This window comes from Homo sapiens, chromosome 3, assembly GCF_000001405.40.
Source record: "Homo sapiens chromosome 3, GRCh38.p14 Primary Assembly".
NCBI lineage: Eukaryota > Metazoa > Chordata > Mammalia > Primates > Hominidae > Homo > Homo sapiens.
In genome coordinates, this window is record NC_000003.12 from 140152558 (window position 1) to 140173516 (window position 20959).

General features: G+C 39.4%; 1 protein-coding gene across 2 annotated transcripts in view, besides 1 other annotated feature; it reads left to right on the top strand.

Moving 5' to 3' along the window:
* The window catches only part of CLSTN2 (calsyntenin 2), a 642213-nt gene that overhangs the window by 217373 nt on the left and 403881 nt on the right, over positions 1-20959 (top strand). The gene's annotated exons all lie outside the window — the stretch shown is intronic.
* Positions 18242-18361: an enhancer, noted in NCBI's record as "active region_20616". NCBI's record gives its function as "activates an Ori minimal core promoter by ATAC-STARR-seq in GM12878 lymphoblastoid cells {active_cell/tissue: GM12878}" and the evidence as "EXISTENCE:reporter gene assay evidence [ECO:0000049][PMID:35858748]".

The following is a 20959-nucleotide window of genomic DNA, read 5'->3' on the forward strand; positions in this document are numbered from 1 at the left end:
AACCCAATAGTTAGTAAATAAATATTTGTTGTATGAAATTGCTGCTGTGGACTACACTGTATACATGGGCAATTGGTGCTCACGTTCTATTAGTGCAGTCTCATTTGTGGGTAGGAGCTGTTTTGGAAGTGATTTCCAGTGGGAATAAAGCTACTGCTTTCCTTAACCCCTATCTCAGGATTAAGTATAAGGTTTATAATTTCTGCTTTACAGGTACTCCCCTTTCCTTCTGCTGTAGGAAATACCATTTTTCCTGCTCCATGCTTAGTGGAGTTAGAGATAATCTACATACCCAAGACACAAATGCTTCATAATCCAATAAATCCTTAACCTGCTGTGTGCAAGCCCTGAGGACAGGCCCTGGAGCCAAAGTCTTTTCTTACATGCACTAAATTTAACTCAAACATTCCTAATGGAATCCCGACTGGAGCCTCATTGGCTGTGGAGCTTGGGTGCCTTCCTGGTTTATGTGGTGTCACAGGTTGGTGTGCGAACATTTTGGAACTGAGTACCAGGGCACAGTGTGGGACTTGTTAAACTCCAGTGGAGAAAAGGGGTTGAGGTTTTGACTTCCACTGTTGAGAGAGGGGTCCTGGTACATGTCCCCTGCACAGCCTCTCTCAGCTCCCTTGTGAGTTCTATAGCTTGTGTAGCCAGGGGCTGCTTTATAAAGATGTAGGAGTGGAGGAACAAGTACACCCGTTGGCACTGGTAATATAAGGGGCTGCCAGGCAATTAAAAAAGCAAATTGTCCTACACGAAAACATGAGCATGCTCTCCTATTGAGTGTGTAACTCTTCAAGGCTGGAGCCACCTCCTTGCAGTGAGAATTTGGCGGGAGCTGTGGCTTGGGCATTCTGCCCAGCAGCAGTGCAGAGCAGGGCTTCCCCTCCAGTTCTGGGGCAGGCCCTGCTCACTCTTCTCCACCAGCTAGGGCAGCCAGTGATGCTGAAAGAGCTATGAAGCCTGGGTGCACCTGTGTGTATGTTGTAGACAGTGGGGGACGGGGTGGTGAAGTGTTGTTAAAAAGGAAATCAAGGCACAAGGGGCCGTTCTCAAATTGTTACCTCACCTCTGAATTCCTTCTTTGAAAGCTTCATCCCTTTTGAGGGTAAAGGGCCTTGGGACTTCTCAAATTCTCTTTGCACAATAATGAGAGCCTTGATGTGGGGAATGTCTGAGCTTGCTCCACCTCAGGCCTTGGGGTAATGGGAAGAGGAAACAGAGGGCTGTGAAGGCAGCCATGGGAGGTGAGAGAGAACACTGGTGGGAGTGGAGCTTCCAGAGGGAGCACAGCTGAGTCAGGAAGGGGATCTACAAGAAGAGAGCTCATGTCTGAAGCTTTTCTGATCTCACTGACAGCCATGATGGATGCTAGCTCATTCACTGACTCAGCATATATTTATTGATAGCTGCCATTTCCGGGCACTGTCTAAGCTCCAGAGAAATAGTGGTGCACAAAAGGGACAAGGTGTTTGCTCTCAGGACTTGGATTCCCAAGGGGCAAGGATAGATGACAAAATAGTCAAGACTTACAAAGCTTAATTTTAGGTGTGATCATTGTGATGAAAATAATAAAATTTTGAGAGGATCAGTTGTGGGGCAGATGGAGGATCCTTCAGATGGGGTCTTCAAGAAGGGGTTATCAGAGGTCTGAGTGGAGAGTGAATGATAATAAGGAGCCAGTCATGTGATGGGGAAAAGTATTTCTGGCCTTCTGGTTGGGGGAACATCTAGTGCAGATACTCCAAGGAAGGCCTGAGCTTGGTGAATTTGTGGAATAAAAAAGAAGCCAGTGTGACTGGGGGTGAGGGAAGGTGGTAGGAGATGAGTTAGGAGTGGGTATAATAAACCATGAGAAGTACTTTGGACTTTATTCTAAGTGTGGTGGGCAGCTGGATTAGTCCATTTTCACACTGCTATAAAGGACTACCTGAGACCTGGTAATTTACGAAGAAAAGAGGATTAATTGACACAGTTGGCTGGGGAGGCCTCCGGAAACTTACCATCATGGCAGAAGGTGAAGAGGAAGCGAAACACGTCTTAAATGGTAGCAGGAGAGAGAGAGAGGGGAAGTATCACCCTTTTTTTTTTTTTTTTTTTTTGAGACGGAGTCTTGCTCTGTCGCCCAGGCTGGAGTGCAGTGGCCCGATCTCGGCTCACTACAAGCTCTGCCTCCCGGGTTCACGCCATTCTCCTGCCTCAGCCTCCCAAATAGCTGGGACTACAGGCACCCGCCACCACGCCCAGCTAATTTTTTGTATTTTTAGTAGAGATGGGATTTCACCGTGTTAGCCAGGATGGTCTCAATCTCCTGACCTCGTGATCCGCCCGCCTCAGCCTGGGAAGTACCACACTTTTAAACCATCATATCTCATGAGAACTCACTCAGTATGATGAGAACAGCATGGGGGAAACTCCCCCATGATCCAGTTACCTCCCATCAGGCCCCTCCCTTGACATGTGGGGATTACAATTCAAGATGAGATTTGGGTGGGGACACAGAGCCAAACCATATCCACAGCCTTGAGAGGGTCTAAACGGAAATTGCCAGGACCTGCTTCCTTTCTGAAGCTATTACTCTGGCAGCTCCGTGGAAAGGGATTGCCGATGATTAGAGTGAATGGATAGAGGTAAACTAAGGGGTTCTTGCAGAGGCTAAGGTAGTATCATCTGGGAATGGAATGTTGGCAGGTAGAGAAAGAGAAGTTCTATGTTTTACTGTGTTGGTGTAGGAATGGCAAAACTTGCTGATAAATTATGTATGGTGATGTAAGAACTGCTTGTTAGGAAAAAGCAGAAATCAAGGTACATCCTAGGGTATTGGCTTGAGCAGCAATAGTGTGCCATTTTCTGAGATAGTGCCCATGAGCTGAGGAGCAGGTCTGGGGAGGAAAGTTGGCTCTTGTTCCAAAGTGGCAGTCAGAGGCGAGGAGTTTCCTAAATATTTGAAGGGGAACAATAAGTTATATCTGGTCAGGGGCTCATATTTAAGAAAAGAGCAGGTTACTCAGATTCTAAGGCAGAACATCTTGTCTTGGCTGTCTCCCAAAGCAAGTGACTGGGTCTAGGTTATTCTGAGTATGCCCATGATCCTGTTTGCTTGGTGCATTGGGAAATCCTAGATAATACCCAAGTTGTCATGATGCAAACAAGTCTTCAATCTGGTTCATCACACACTTGCTTGCTGAGTGACCACTCTTAGCCAGCTTCCCTCGTCAAAGACTTCTAATGTCATGGAACAACCAGTAAGTCAAGGGCTTCCAAAATTCCAAGACAGTCATGACAATTCAGTGCATTGAGATTGCCATCTGCTTTGAAAACCATTTCCAAGCTAATTAGGCCCAAGATACAAGAGTAAGAAGCTGACATTAATATCCTTAGCCATGCTTTCTCTCATTTTTTTTTTCCCATTCAGACAGATTTATTTCCAGCCCTCCTAGGGGCAATTTTATTGATCTTACTTTTGTCCTCCTTCTTCAGCGTTGTTACTTATTTTTGGTGTATAACGTTCTTTGCATTTCTTTCCTCCCTCATCCCACTGTCCACTACTCTCCTAGGACAGGGATAGCAAATAAGTTTTATCTTAGGTGCTATCTCTTATTAAAAAGAGGCTGCCACAAACGTTGTGTTGAGAAAGAGTCTGAGGTCATGTTCAGGGTCAGTGGGATTGATTACCCATGCCTGCCATGGGTCTGAAAGGAGGACAGGCTCTGTTCACTTGTTCTACGATGTTTCAATTACAATTTACTCTAAATCAACCACTGCTAGATATTTCCAGGAATATGCTTCTTTTCCATTTTATTGCTCATGCTGAAATAGGGCCTTCTGTATCATAGATTCTCAATAAATATTTATTGAATTGATGAATGGTATTTGCCAATTTTTTTAAAGTTAACTTTAAGGGAACTGAGGACCTGACCAGGCATTCTATATGGCAGCTCTGAGAAAGTTTCTCACAGACTGCAACTTCAGGGAGTGTAATGAGGCCCCAGCTGCTGGGCAGTGAAAGATCTTGGCACTAATGCCATGCCATCCATGGGTTGTCTGAGCCAGTGACTGAGTGTGGGGATACTGAGGCATACTAAAGCAGACCTTCTCCTCGAAGAGGTGAGACTCCTCTGACAGTTGACTTTGACTTGAGGACACTGTAGGTGTTGGTTTCATCACCTCCTACTCAGACTGCATGGAAGTCTAGGACACTTTTCTCACAATTTATTTCTTCCTCTCCCCTCCACTGGGGTTATGTCTGCATCAAGGTCTGACCTCTTCAGACGTTTCTGGCTCCCTCCTTACTTTCCCTCACAAAATAATTTTTCTTAATAAAATCCTTGCATGTTTAATCCTGTCTTGGTGTTTGCCTCTCGGAGGACCTGGACAAACACAACCCGCTGACATCAGAGAGAAGTAAAGGCTCTTTTGAATCTGATTAATCCTGTCAGATATGAGCCAGGACACAGGGGAGGTCTTGCCCCTGCCCTTTGTAGAGGATACAGTGTGAAGTAGATTGACTTCCTAGAAGTGCTCAATGAGGGGAAGCATCGCTGCTCAGAACTATTCAATCTTTATTTTTTTAAAGAAAAAGATTGCTAGCATTTTGTTGAGGATTTTTGTGTCTGTTTAGTGGAGATATTGGCCTAAAGGTTTTTTTTTTCCCCATTGTGTCTCTTCCAGATTTTCCTATTAGTCTCCAAAGAATTGGTTAGGGAGGAGCTCCTCCTCCTCAATGTTTTGGAAGAGTTTCAGTAGGATTGTTACCAGTTCTTCTTCATATGTCTGGTAGAATTCAGCTGTGAATCCATCTGGTCTGCGGATTTATTTGGTTGGTAGGTTTTTTAAATTACTGATCCAATTTTGGAACTTGTTATTGATCTGTTCAGGTTTCCACATTCCTCCTGGTTCAATCTTGGGAGGCTGTGTGTTTCTAGGAATTTATCCATTTCCTCTAGATTTTCTAATTTGTGTGCATAGAGTTGTTCGTAATAGTCTCTGAGGATCTTTGTATTTCTGTGGGATCACTTGTAATGTCATCTGTCATTTCTGATTGTACTTATTTGGATATTCTTTTATTCCTTTGTTAATCTGGTTAACAATCTATCAGTCTTGTTTAATCTTTAGAAAATCAAGTCTTGGTTTCATTGATTGTTTGTATGGATTTCTGCATCTCAGTTTCATTCAGTTCTGCTCTAATTTAGTTATTTATTTTCTTCTACTTGCTTTGGGGTTAATCCAGTAGAACATAAAAGCTAATACACCATGATCAAGTAAGCTTTATTCCTGGGATGCAAGGCTGGTTCAATATACACAAATCAGTAAATGTGATTCAGCACATAAACAGAATTAAAAGCAAAAACCATATTATCATTTCAATAGATGCAGAAAAAGCTTTCAATAAAATCCAGTGTCCCTTCATAACACTTGATCTTAGCCAAAAGGCCGAGAAGCAATGTCCCTTCATAACAAAACCCCTCAACAGACTAGGAATCAAAGGAACACCTCAAAACAATAAGGGCCGTCTATGACAAACCCACAACCAACATTACACTAAATGGGCAAAAGCTGGGAGCATTCCCCTTGAGAATTGGAACAAGCTAAGGATGCCCACACTTACCACTCGTATTCAACATAGTACTGGAAGTCCTAGCCAGAGCAATCAGGCAAGAGAAAGAAATAAAAGGCACCCTAATAGGAAAAGAAGTCAAAGTATCTCTCTTCACTGATGATATGATTATATACCAGGAAAAACCTAAAAACTCTGTCAAAAGTCTCCTAGAACTGATAAATGACTTTTTTCCATGATACAAAATCTCTGTACAAAAGCCAGTAGAATTTCCATATACCAATAACATTCAAGCTGAAAGTCAAATGAAGAACACCATCTCATTTACACTAGCTATGAAAAAATTGAAATACCTAAGAATACAGCTCATCAAGGAGATGAAAGATCTCTAGAAGGAGAACTAAAAAACACTGCTGAAAGAAATCATAGATGACACAAATGCAAAAACATTCCATGCTCATGGATTGGGAGAATAAATATTGTTAAAATGGCCATATTGCTGAAAACAGTTTACAACACTATATCAAACTACCAATGTCATTTTTCACAGAATCGGAAAAAAAGACTCTAAAATTTATATGGAACCAAAAAAGAGCCTGAATAACCAAAGCAATCCTAAGGGAAAAGAATAAAAAGTGTCACACTCCCTGATTTCAAACTATGCTATAAGGCTGCAGTAACCAAAACAGCATGGTACTGGCACAAAAACAGACACATGGACGAATGGAACAGAATCAAGAACCTGGATATAAAGCCGCACAGGTACAGCCATCTGATCTTCAGCAAAATAGTCAAAGATAAGCAATGGGGGAAAGAACACCCTATTCAATAAATGATGCTGGGATAATTGGCTAGTAATATACAGAAGAATGAAACTGGACCCCTACCTTTTACCATGTGCAAAAATTAACTCAAATTGGATTAAAGATTTAAATGTGAAGCCTCAAACTATGAAAATCCTAGAAGAAAACCTACGAAATATTCTTCTCGACATTAGCCTTGGTGAAGAATTTTTGGCTAAGTTCCCAAAAGCAATTGCAATAAAAATAAAAATTGACAGATGGGACCTAATTAAGGAGCTTCTGCACAGCAAAAGAAACTATCAACAGAATAAGCAGATATCCTACAGAATGTAAGAAAATATTTGCAAACTATGCATCCAACAAAGGCCTAATATCCAGAATCTATAAGGAACTTAATAATTTAACAAGCAGAAAACATCCCCATTAAAAAATAGACCAAGGACATGAACAGACACTTCTCAAAAGAAGATATACAAGCAACCAACAATCATATGAAGAAATGCTCATCATTACTAATCATCAGAGAAATGCAAATCAAAATCCCAATGAAATATCATCTCACAGCCATTACAATGGCTATTATAAAAACAAAAAACAGAGGCTGGTAAGGCTGTGGTGAAAGGGCATGCTTTTACATTGTTGGTGGTAATGTAAATTAAATCAGCCACTGTGAAAAGCAGTTTAGAGATTTCTCAAAGAATTTAAAACAGAGGTACCATTCGACCCAGCAATCACACTCCTGGGTATATATCCAAATGAAAACAAGTCATTCTACCAAAAAGACACACACTTGTATGTTCACTACAGCACAATTAACAATAGCAAAGACATGGAATCAACCCAGTTGCCTATCAACAGTAGATTGGATAAAGAAATGTGGTACATATATACCATGGAATACTATGCAACCATAAAAAGGAACAATATTATATCCTTTGCAGCAACATGAATGCAGCTGGAGGCCATTATCCTAAACAAATTAGTGCAGGAATAGAAAATGAAATACTGTATGATCTCACAAGTGGGAGCTAAACATTGGGTACTCATGGACATAAAGACAGAAACAATAGATACTATGGACTACTAGAAGGGGAAAGTAGCATGGGGAGAGGGTGTATGTTAAAAAAACTTCCTAGAGTACTGTGTTCACTAACTCGGTGGCAGGATCTATATCCTAAGCCTCAGGATCATCAATATACCCATGTAGCAAACCTGCACATATACCCCGTGTATCTAAAATAAAAGTTGAAATTCTAAAAATATAAAATAAACAGATTTAAGAAAATGATATTTAGAGTTAATGTATATTTAGAGTTTCTGTAAATAATCTTTATTTTCACTGACATACAGAACATTCAATAAAACACTACCAAAGACATGACATCTATCTTAAATTTAATATGGTGAGCCCTGCACAATTAATTGCATTTATCATGCTTATAGGAATTTTTTAGACTCTCCCAACCCTAAATGAGTTCTTTGCTAGTAAATTTATGTGCTTTTTGCATATAATATGTATGTCTTTTTCACCACCCAAATGTTTCATGTAAATATGATTTTATGACTCAGGAATGACTTTTCCTCCTGAGACATTCTCAATTTCATGGAATTCTATAGCATTTTTCTCATTCCATGCTGGACTGTTCTAGGCCAGTGTTTACTGTCTGCCGATTTCTTTTATCTACAGTGTCTATTCATCCTATTTTTTTTTTCCTTTTCCTTGTTTCTTTCTTGTCTTATTATCCCCAGAAGTATTGGTGTATAAGAAAACCAAAATTCTCTTGGTCAACCAAAAGTTGTTCAGAAATAAGTAGGTCCCAATCTCTACCACATGGTGGGGAAAGATGCTGGGTCTTTTATGTCTATATCCCTAACCTACCACAATAGCTTTCAAAATACACCCAGGAACGCTTGGTGGGGAGTCCCTGAGTCCCTTTCAAGGGTCCATCCACAAGATCAAAATGATTTTCATAAAAGTACTAAGATACTATTTGCTTTCTTTGGTTCAGATAATCATTGAGGAGGAATCACTGTGTGTCAGTCTTTGCTCAGATAATAACAAGCAGTCAAAGCTTATTCATTCATCTTTTAACACACACTTAACACACACGGAGCACCTACCATGTGCCAGGCCTCAGGATTACTACTAGTAAGAGCAAAGGTCTCAGTTAGCAATTTTGGGATGTATGCCTTAGGGATTGAGAGACTCCTCCAGCTGGCAAGTACTTGTTCTATTTACCACTAGGAGACATTGACACCTTCAACAGTGGAATTACCCTTTAAAATCTCCAAGATCATGATTACTCTTTTGAGACACAATAGTTGCCTCCTAAACACTCTGAAAATTCAGAGTCCAAATGTATTTCAGAAGTTCCTCACAATGCTTTTAACCTTTGATGCCTTTTACAGAGATGATTTATGAAGTTTGCTTATTTTTATGGCAGTTTCTCCAACCAGGTTGCAAAAGATATAAAGACTGTGATTTCAGACAATTATTCTCCTGACAGCATGCACTCAAGTTCATACAAGAAAAGATGCTCCCCTTCCTTTTTCCAAAAGAATCAGAGGCTCTATTACCTACACAGTATCACAAAAATTGATGTGCTAGTGATCCAGTCAACAAGTTACTTTTCCTTCACAACCAGAACCGGAAAAAGAACCAATCTTGTCACTGCATTGATCAACCCTCCCTAACTGAGTTAAATCTAAGAAATAATTATGTAAGTCTTGCCTGGATAACTTTGGTTATCCTTTCTTTCTCTCCCCTCCTACTGTCCCTTTCTTCTCTCCCCACTCTCTTCCTCCCCTTACACTCACACTCTTTCCTACCTGAGCAGCATGTGCTGTGTTTCAAGTCCTTTGACAAGCCACATACTAAACTTTTGGTTTCTTAACAAGTTAGCATTCTTAAATGTTAACAAACCCAAAGAGCTTTCGTTTTGTAGGTTATACCTGTTACTATATATTGCATTAGCAATTTAAACTGACAAAATTTAAAAATCTATATTTATTAATTTACTTATAATTAACAATAAACTCATCAAATATTGACCAAAATAACAAACTTTTTACTTAAAACAACTGTTGACAAGAATTTTAAAAAACAGTGGGAAGAGTCTCATTGTTTTACATTTTTGCAATTATCTTTAATGTCTGGCTTAATAGAAGACAGCTGGATTTTTATATCTGCTTATAACCTCTGGAAAACTGCTCTAGAGAGAATAAAAGCAAAGAAAGCAAATACTATCTTAGCACTTCTGTAAACATAATTTTGACCTTGTGAACCCCTGAAAGGGTCTCAGAGACCCTCCCAAGGGTTCCTGGCCATATTTTGAGAACTTTTGTGCTGGGTTAGGGATATAGACATAAAACACACAGCATCTTTCTCCACCATCTGGTATAGAAAAGGTACAAAATGATATTTACATCCAGTATAGTACTTGCTATGCTAGAGATAAGCAGGGGACTTTGGGAGGACAAGGAGAGGGACTTAATTTAGTCTTGGTTATGTATCTAGGGGTGGAAGAGTAGAGGAGTGTCAGAGCCCCTGTCAGTGGTGCCTGAGCTGAGCTGAACTGAGCAGGCAGGAATGCAGACATGTGGATGCAAATAAAAGCAAATTCTCTGATAGACTGACAATCAGATCTGATTGTGGGGATGACCTAGGGTATTCGCTTGCAACTTTGTTATAATTATGTATTTGGCTGGGTGGCGGGGGCCTTTTTGCTTGTCTTCTACCTCTTATACTCTGTATCTTTTCAGGAAGGAGTCAGAGCTGGGGAAATGCACATAACAGTTCACATAAATAACAAGCAAAATTGGCCTGCCAGTGCTTTCTTTCTGAAGCATGGAGAAGCAGGCAAGCATTTTGCAGTGAATATACTGTAAACCAGATAATTGTCATCCATCGTTCTGGACATCTTAGAATCTAAGGCGTGAAATGGAATTCGCAGTAAAAATGTATCATGCATTTGCTACCTTCTAGAACAAAGTTGGTAGCATAAGCCACAAGGGTTTTATTTATTAGTTTGCCAGTAGAGAAACAAAAGTATAGCATTTCTTTCTAAGCTTTAGAGAAATTTGTACTATCCTATCAAATCTTCTCACTCAGTTTGAATACAGCAGTCTTAAAAACTTCTTCAGTGCATGTGATGATTAGTTTGTGATATGTCAAATTGTCTGGGCTGTAGTACCCAGTTATTTAATCAAACACTAGTCTAGATATTGCTGCGAAGATATTTTGTAGATGTGCTGAAGATCTACAATCAGTTGACTTTAAGTAAAGGACATTACTCTCACTAACATGGATGAGCCTCATCCAATCAGTTGAAGAGCTTTGACAGCAAAAACTGTCATTTCCCGGAAAAGAAAAAAGTTGCCTCAAGATTGCAGCATCAACTTCTGTCTGGGTTTTCAGCCTGCAGGCCTGACCTACAGTTCTCAAATTTGCTAACCCCCCACAAAATGCATGAATCAATTCTTTAAAATTTTCTATCTCTACACACACACACACACACACACACACACACAGATGTAGAGCTAGATAGATATAGATTTAGAGAGATTGTTATGTACTATTGGTTCTGTTTCTCTGGTGAACCCTGACTGTTCATTCCCCAGTCCACTTTAGTCTTGGCTATATTGTCTCTTTGTACCCTACCAAGCACTTGGTCCACAGTTTGACCCACAGGAGATGGAACTGAATGTGTGCCATTGCATTGACTTCTTGTGGGGAGAAGGATGACCATCCAGGGAGGAAATTTCAATTCTTCCATCTAGGAGCCGTGGCCTTGCTTGTATGAGTTCCTTAAGCTCTCTGAACCTGTTCCCTCATCCATGAAGTGGAGCCAATTCTGCCGTCCTGCAGGGGTGCTTGTGAGAATTTAATGAGAACACGACCGTAAAGGCTGGCACATAGTAGGCCCTCAGGAGTGGTGGCTTCTGGTTAGCTATGTTAATGATTCTGGTTTGTCAATGGCAATTACAGAAAGTTTTAGACAATTACATTTATTAGCATGAATTCCAAAGTAAGTTAAGGACTATCTTAGGGGTTAAAGATGTTTAAAATGCAATGAAGTGTGAGATATTGAAGTAATAACAATCTTGGAGAATTAGAGATATAACAATTTAATGCACACTTCAGTCCAATAATGTTCAGTAGGTAAAATATTTTGTGTAAAAAATGAGCTGACTCTAGCAAGTGAATGTGAGCATTAAACAATCACAGTCCCTTTTTCCTTGCCCCTTTTTATTCGAAATGATCTTTTTCTGCATGGCTCCTGATCTTCTTCTGCATGGCTCCTGATCTTCTTCATAGACTTAGTCTAATTTTTCCAGCCCTTGGGAGTTAAGCTTAGGGTTCTGTTAGGTCTTCATCCTACCAATGGATTAGTTGGGTTGTGGGCATGCTGGGTCCTGTGTGGGTCCTGATTCCAGCCTGTAGATACTGAGGTGCAGAACTGAAAACCTTTGCTGGCAACCTATAAAGTGCTAGTCACCAATGAGCCAGCTCTAACTCAAGAGTCTCATTTTATCTTCCTCTCAAAAACCTTGCAGAATTGGTATTACCTCCATTTTGTAAAAGAGAGTGGAGGCCTGGGACGTTTGAAAGACTTAACTAAAATATCCTGTTGGTATGTAAAGGCAGCACTTTGACATTAATTGCAATACCCCTTACACTCAACCTCAGGGTCTGTCTTAGGGTGAACTTTGGCCAGTTGGCTTGATCCAGATGACTTGTGTAGAGACAACTTAAAATTTAAGTTTCATAAATCTCACATGGTACCCCAGTGCACAATTTTTCCTAGCCTTGCTCTTGGTTCAGATGTCACTACCCAAAAGGATATTGCCATATAGTTCATTCCCAGGCTGGAGAAATTAGGTAAGTTCTTTGGGATTGTCCACACTCTAAACAATTGAGTATTTATGGGTAGAAAATGATAGTTGGAAGGAAAGAAGAAAATAGGTATGGTGAGTGGACAGATGGCTAGGTAGATGGGTGGATAGGTAGATGGGTGGGTGGATGGATGGATTGATGGATGGAAAGAAAATAGGAAAGAAGTGAGGAAGGAAGGAAAGCAATGTTCTGCCCCCACTGAAAGCACCTATCAAGCAGTTAAGGATTAATGACTCAGCCATCTGTCCTTCAAATACTTTTTCAATCCAATTAAAATAGTGAAATGTAATCTCATCTTCTGTGGATATTTTTCATGTATGAGTCACACACATGGGATTTGTATTTAAAACTCTCTAATTGGTACCTCTAGCAAGTAATATAGGTTGTCTCTGATTAAGTGATGGCAAATGTCACCCTAAGATTTGGGAGGCATGCCCTTTCTATTTGCGTGATACAGGAATACCTACTCATTGGAATCAAAGTGCTGCTCTTTGCTTCAGGTATTGGAGATGCTGGCAAGGAAAACGTGTGCTCACTTTGTTTACCAGTGACTCACTATATGCTGGGCACTGTGTTAGGAACTGTAGACATCGTCATGATTAGAATGGTGCCTCCCGGTCAAGGGGCCTCAGGGTTCTTCAGGAAATGGGAACAAGGAAAGATCCAATGGCGACACAGTAGACCTGTGGCATGAGAGCAGACAGTACAGGGTGACGGGAGAACAGGAGGGCAACCGGGGGAGGGGAGTGAGCTGAACCTGGAAGAATGAATAGGAGTGTAGGCACAGGGGTAGACAGCACAATTATGGCAAAGGCCTGGATAACCTAGAGAGCTTGGGGCCTAGGGTAGCCTCATCTGATCTCCTAATGGAGGGCAGGACAGCTTCCTAGCCTGGTATCCTAGTGGGGGAAGGGCAGAATCAGATTTGCCCTCCTATCCTGGCCTGACTGAAGCAAAGAATAAAAATACTTTTCAAAATGCTATTATAATAATTATAGTTAGAAATCATTTTATTACAAGAACAGATACTCAAACTAGCACAATTTTTCTTTTAAAAGTTGGAGGAGAATAACTATTGAAAGGCTTCACTTGGCAGCCTCACACACCCCACAGAAGGCTGATGAGTCTGTGAAAAGTGAGCAGGGGATGGGCTGGAAAACAGGAGTGGAGAGGTGCCTCTGTGTTGCCTACAGCCATCTGGGGTCCATTTCTTCTCTCTGCCTATCTACTCTCAAACCTTGTGTCTCCTGGCAGATGGCTGTCTCTCATTTAAATGGATTTTCAGCTCCCCCTAAACTTTGAGTGCTGATTGCATGAATGCTAGCCCCAACTCCCTATTAACTTTTGTCTCAAGATTTCAAGTGCCCATTGCCAAATGAGCTCTAGTTTCTGGCCTGTGAAATGAAAGTTTCAAGGTCTAATACATTGGCCTACTCCACCCATCAGTTACCCCAAGGGTCCAGTATCTATCTTGGCCTAAGCAGTTCTACTAGGAGATCAGATCAGAAGAGGAAGTTGAGCATGGCAGGCAAAAGACCAGCCTGACAATTGGAATAATATATTTACCAGAGTATAGTTAACCTTGTTAGAGCATTTTGCAATCAGTAAAGCATGTTTTTTACTCATAGTTTACTTTCACTCAGGGAGCAGTATTGGAGTTTTAAAGATCCAGGGTTGTCCAGAAAGGTCAGAAAGTAGCCAGAAACGTCATCTTTAGGTAAAAGCATAAAGATTCAAAAGGTAAATCATGAGCCGCTTGGCCCTGCTGCTTGGATGGAGCATTAATACACTTTTTTTGCAGTGTAAGCAAAGAGAAGAGAGCTGAGGAGCTCTCCTGAGGAATGCATCTGTGCTCTAGTTAAAGGCACATTGGGTGGCAAGACCTAATTTCTGTGTAAATGGAGCAGAAATATCACACTGGTGTTTCCTCTGCATGAGTGCAAAGACACGGGCATTTTCCAAATGCTGAAACATCATGGAAAAGAGATAAGAAAGAGGCAAGAATTAGTCCTAAAGGGGCATGATATGACACAGCTCAGCCTCCAGATGGGATGTGCAGAAAACAGGGATATTATCTTGTCAAGAACTGATAAAAACTTAGTTCTTCTGAAGTTAAATTCAAATGAAGCGAAGCATGAGCTGACTAACCTCGCTCTGTTGGAACAAAAAGACAAAGCATTTTGTTCAGGGAGGGAACATCAGGCTATGGAACAGATTAAATAAGGAATAACAGCCAAGCCACAGGCATCAACAGCCACTACTTCTTTCTGGAAAGGAGATGGTTCTCCAGCATCCCATGAAGCCAAGGTTTGGAAGTAGCTCCTGGATAATTTCTGTACATGCCAAAAAGCACTGGGTAATGTGAATGCCGTCTCAGTCCAGCACTGTGGCTGGCCTTGCTCCTTCAAACTCTGTTCTACAGATAAACCAAACTATTTACATTTCCCCCAAGATATATTAAATGCTTTTATCATTGGGCCTTTGCCCATCCACGTTCTTCTGCCTGGAGCCCTCCACATCCTTTATGCCTGCTTAATTCCTGCTGCTCATGACTTAGAGTTTACTTTCTCCAGGAAGTAATCCTGGGTTAGCTTGACTGAGTTAGCACTTCTCTTTTTCCATAGCACTCTGCTCTTCCTCTTCTCACCTACCTCTTACCATACTGTTTACCTCTCTAGTCTGGGAGTCCTTTGAGTACTAAAACTTTGTTCTTGCCCCACATGTATTGCGGCATAATTTACACAGACAGAATAAGAGTCATCTTTTTAAGTGTGAAGTTGGATATGTTTTGACAAACGCACACGTGCAGAAGTGTAACCACCACTACAATCAAGATACAGAATGGTTTCATCGTCTCAGAACATTCCCTTGTTCCCCTTCACAATCAAATCCCACCCCACCCCAAACCCTAGCCACTACTGATCTGTTATCTGTCCCTATAGTTTTGTGTTTTCTAAAATGTCATATGAATGGCATCAAATAGCATGCAGTCTTTTTTGTCTGACTTATTTCACTTCATTTCACCAGTGAAATGCTTTGGTGATTCATCTGTTTTGTTATATGGATCAGTAGTTGTTCTTTTATTGCTGAGTGGGTGTCCATTATCTGGATATTCTGCAATTTGTTTATCCATTCACTAGTTGACGGCCATTTTAGTTACCAGTTTGGCACTAAGTATTCTGAATAAAGATTCTGTGATCATTTCTATACAAGTCTTTCGTGTAATTTATGTTTTCATTCCTCTTGGGTAAATCCTAGGAATAGAATTGCTGAGTCATTTTATAAGAAACTATTTTGCAAAGTGACTGTATTAGTCTTACATTCTTACCAACAATGTCTAAAAGTTCCAATTACTTTACATGTTTATCAGAACTTGATATTGTCAGTTTTATTTTAGCCATTCAACTGGTGTTGTGGTGATATCCCATTGTGGCTTCAATTTACATGCCCCTAATGACTATTGATGTTGAACAAATTTTTATGCTCTAATTTGCTGTTTATATATTTATTTTAGTGACAGGTATATTCAATTTTTGCTTTTTGAAAATCAAATTGTCTTATTTAATTGAAAGAATTATTTATATATTTTGGATACAAGACCTTTATGAAATGTTTTGCAAATATTTCCTCCTAGTCTGTGGCTTACAATTTTTTTAGAGTTTTTCAAGAAAATAAGAGTCTATCATTTTTATAAAGTTTGATGTTATCAATTTTATCTTTTATGGGGCATGCTTTTTTTTGGAGCCTTCTAATCTAACCCAAGGACACTAAGATTTTCTGATATGCTTTATTTTAAAGGTTTTATAATTTTGACTTCTACATTCAGGACTATGACTCCTGTAGAGATAATTTTTGTTTGTATAGCACAATACAACTGGAGTTTATTTTTTTGGCATATAGATATTCATTTTTTCTCTAGCAGCATTTAATAAACTATTCTCCTCCCCATTTAATTGTCTTAGAACCTTTGTCAGAAATGAACTGACCATATGTATGTGTCTATTTCTGGACTGTTTCTTCTTTCCATTGATGTATACATCTATCTTTATATTAATACCACACTATCTTGATTAGGGTAGGTTTGCAGTAAGTTTCAAAATTAGGTAGTATAAGTCCTTCAACTTTGTTCTTTTTTCCTAAAATTATTTTTAGCTATGTCAGGTCTTTTTCATTTATATGTACATCTTAGAGTTTGCTTATTCTTTCAGAAATCCTGCTGGTAATTTTGGTTGGAGTTACATTAAATCTATATATCAATTTTGGGGAAAATTAACGTCTTAAGTATATTGAGTCTGCCAAATAATGAACACTGTGTATTTCTCCATTAAAACCTCTTCAGATCTTTAAATTCTTTCAGCAGTGTCAGGGTTTTCAGTGTACCAACTTTTGCATATATTTTCTGAAAATTATTGCTAAGTTTCATGTTTTTGATGCTATTGTAACAGTATTTTTTTAATTGAAATTTCCAATTGTTGATTTCTTCATAGAAATACCATTGCTTTTTTAATATTGACTTTCTATCTTCTGACCTTCCTAAACTCTTATTAGTTCTAAGCATGTTTTATTCCATAGAATTTTTGCATTGATTATCATGTTCCCTGTGAATAATGACAATTTTACTTTTTCATTTCCAATTTAATATTTTTTCTTGCCTTATTGCACTGGTTAGAACCTACAGTACAATGTGAATAGAAGTGCTGAGAGTGGGCCATCCTTGTATTCTTCCTGTTCTTGGAAGGAAAGCATTTATTCTTTCACCATTAAGTATGATATTAGCTATAGGTTTTTGTAAAAGTTCTTTATCCAGTTAAGAAAGTTGTTTTCTATTTTTCATTTGCTAATAGTTTTAATTATAATTTTGTCAGATGCTTTTTAAAAGACTTTTTTTCTCATTTTATCTCAATATGTATGTTTTCTGTACATTTTGGATACTCCATTAATATATATTGAAGGGATGAAGCTGGGTAGAACATTTCTGAGAGTGCAAGGGTACACCTTAGCTACCCAGGATCATGAGATGGGGTAGGGGGAGTTATGAGTATTTGAATGCCTGCTGTGTTCCTGGGTACTATGTTTGCATACATCATTTCATGCAATTTTCACGACATTCCTGAGAAATAAGTATCTTCATTTTACAAATGAAGAATGAGTAATGATGGGATGATTTACAAGCTATAACATAATTGAGCTCAGAAGAAATTTTATGTTTCATTACTCAATAGGAATAAAAAGGCAATAATCATTAAATTCAGGAAACAAAAATATACAAGGGAGGCTGCTTCCAAATGTGATGCAAGCTGTGATCATAGGAACATGATTCAGCCATTTGATGGAGTAAAAAATAAAGAATCCAGTTGATCTGGATGCAAATAATGTGGTCCTCAAAATGATCATTTGACCACTAAAAAGAATAAGTAATTATTGTACAATACTTGGCTCATCCATGAATGATATCTTCGTAGTCGAATTAACATAAATTAAGTTATTGGTTTGCAACCCTGATGATTTGATCTATAGACAAAGGATAGAAGGCAATTTTGTTTATGAATCAATCTTGACAAAGCAAAAATCCTGATGTGAGGGAAATTAGAATGTGGGAAAGAAGGGAGAAAATTTGGGGGATGTTAGCATTCTTACTTTCCAAAATGAGAACATTTAAATCCCTCTAAGCCTCAGTTACTCACCTGCAAAATGAGAAATAAATTATTTCCCAAAGGGGTTGTTGTGAGGATTAGTAAATGTATGGATGTCAAATACCTAATATGTGATAGGTACCCTAACTGAAGTAGTGACAGAGAGGAGTAAAGGAAGGCAGACCTGTACATAGAAGGAAGTCAGCTCATTTCCTAATGAGGGAAAAACCTCAACTTTTAAGTTGGTCTATAAATCACCTCTCCTGCAGACATTGTCACTGCCCAGCAAGCAGGGTGGTAAGTCTGAGTAATGAAAAAGCAGCAGCTGTGTGTCTAGCACAGGACATATGAATGACAGAACAACACTGTAAGTGGCATCACCATCAGCATTTTACAGTCGTGGGAACTGAAACTCTGAGAGGCCAGAGGATTCACATAGGACCAGGCAAAAGTGGCTAAGTCAGGGCTAAAACCAGGAACTGCAACTTTAGATTTCATTGCCTGCCACTGAGCCTATCTAATTTAGACCATTTAGATAGGCACAATGAATCTGAAGCACTGGGTGAGCTCCTGGTGTATGCTTTGTACACAGTTCTAATGGACAGGCCCCTAGGTTTAATTAAGGGGAAAAAAAGATTTAATTGTTTCTCCCAACAGCTGCAAATTATTTACATTGCATTTGTGTTGATGGCTAATAAAAGAGCAAAGGAGTGTGGGGACAGCCCAGTGTGGTTATAATTTTTCCAGGGTCCATAATGAAGCATCAGTCCGAATGCCAAACTGTGAAAATGGATGTACCTACTGTCCAATTCACACCTGCAGTGGCCAGAGCTTCTCTCTGCCCTGGGCATGGTCCAATCTGTAAAAATGGGTTTCAGGGGCCAAGACCTGAGAATAGCAAGGCATATGTCCCTGCCTCATTAGACTGCTTTCCAGTTAGTTTGTGATTGCTGTGGAATGGGTGAGAAGGAGCAAAATGGTGGCCTTGGTTGAGTCTGCCACTGCTCCTGGAACAGCTCTGAACTGACCTTTTGAAGGATGAGGCAGGAAGGGAACAGCCACTGCTTCAGAGCTGCTCTCAATTCTATAAGCTCTCACTTTGCTGTGGCTACTGAAAAATTTGTAATGTAATATATAAAATATATACTGTATAATGTGCATTATATATTATATAATATGTATTATATATTATATATAATACGTATTATATATTATATATAATATGTATTATATATAATATATATTAATATATAATATGTATTATGTATTATATATTATATATAATATATTAATATATAATATGTATAATATATAATATATAATATGTATTATATAATATATAATATATAATATGTATTATATATTATATATTATATATAATAACAATATATAATATAATATATATATTATATAATAACAATATATAATATATATATTATATAATATATATTATATATTATGTGTGTGTGTGTGTGTTTGCACTTCTCAGATATCACAAAGTATGAATTTCTGGTTTTCCTACTTATTAATTTTTAACCATATAATCACCTTGGGAAAGTTACGCTTTGTGGAGGTAGTTTATTCATCTTTATAATGATCATGCCTACCTCACAGGATGCTGTGGGAAGCACTGCATATGTGACCACACCTTTTAAACTATGAATTAGGGTGTGAAGTTTGGCATCGGAACAATTTTGATTATTCTAGCCCCCCTCTAACCTGTTATTTTGAATCTGATGTACCTACTCTATATCCAGACTTCTGTGAGGGTATTGGGGGTGAGCGGGGGGGACTAAAAAAGAGAAACCAAGTAGCTCACAGTTAAGTAATCAGATTAATGTTTTAGAAAGATCACTCTTGATACCAGTGTGCAGAATAGAATGGAGTAGGGCAAGATTTCCAATGGAGAGACCAGTCAGGAGACCCCTGCTGCCATCCAGATAGGAGTGGGTTGGGCTAGAACCCATCAAACAAGACATAGAAGGGGAAGGATTTGGCAAGAACTGGGTTCTCACCAGATGAGGTGAAAACTCCTGGCACAGTCTTATTTCAGTTCTCTACTCTTCATTAGTACCTGCTGATATAAGTATACTGTATTGATTTGCTAGGGTTGCTGTAACAGAGTACCACAAACTGGGTGGATTAGTCCATTTTCTTGCCGCTGATAAAGACATACTCAAGACTAGGCAATTTACAAAAGAAAGAGGTTTAATTGGACTTACAGTTCCACGTGGCTGGGGAAGCCTCACAATAATGGCAGAAGGCAAGGAAGATCAAGTCCCATCTTACATGCATGGCAACAGGCAAAGAGAATGAGGAAGATGCAAAAGCAAAAACCCCTGATAAAACCATCAGATCTCGTGAGACTTATTCACTACCACAAGAATAGTATGGGAGAAACTGCCCCCATGATTCAATTATCTCCCACTGGGTCTCTCCCACAACATGTGGGAATTATGGGAGTACAATTCAAGATGAGATTTGGGTGGGGACATAGAGCCAAACCATATCATTCTTTCCCTAGCCCCTGCCAAATCTCATGTCCTCACATTTCAAAAACAATCATGCCTTCCCAACAGTCCCCCAAAGTCTTAACTCATTTTAGCATTAATCAAAAGTCCACAGTCTAAAGTGTCATCTGAGACAAGGCAAGTCCCCTCTGCCTATGAACTTGTAAAATCAAAAGCAAGCTAGTTATTTCCTAGATACAATGGGGATGCAGACATTGGGTAAATACAACCGTTCCAAATGGGAGAAATTGGCCAAAACAAAAGGGCTACAGGGCCCATGCAAGTCCAAAATCCAGTGTGGCTGTCAAATCTTAAAGCTCCAATATGATCTCTTTTGACTCCATGTCTCATATCCAGGTCACCCTGATGCAAGAGGTAGGTTCCCATGGTCTCGGGAAGCTCCACCTCTGTTGCTTTGCAGGGTACAGCCTCCCTCCCAGCTGCTTTCATGGGCTGATGTTGAGTACCTGCAGCTTTTCCAGGCACAGGTGCAAGTGTCAGTGGATCTAGCATTCTGGGGTCTGGAAGACAGTGGCTCTCTTCTCACAGCTCCACTA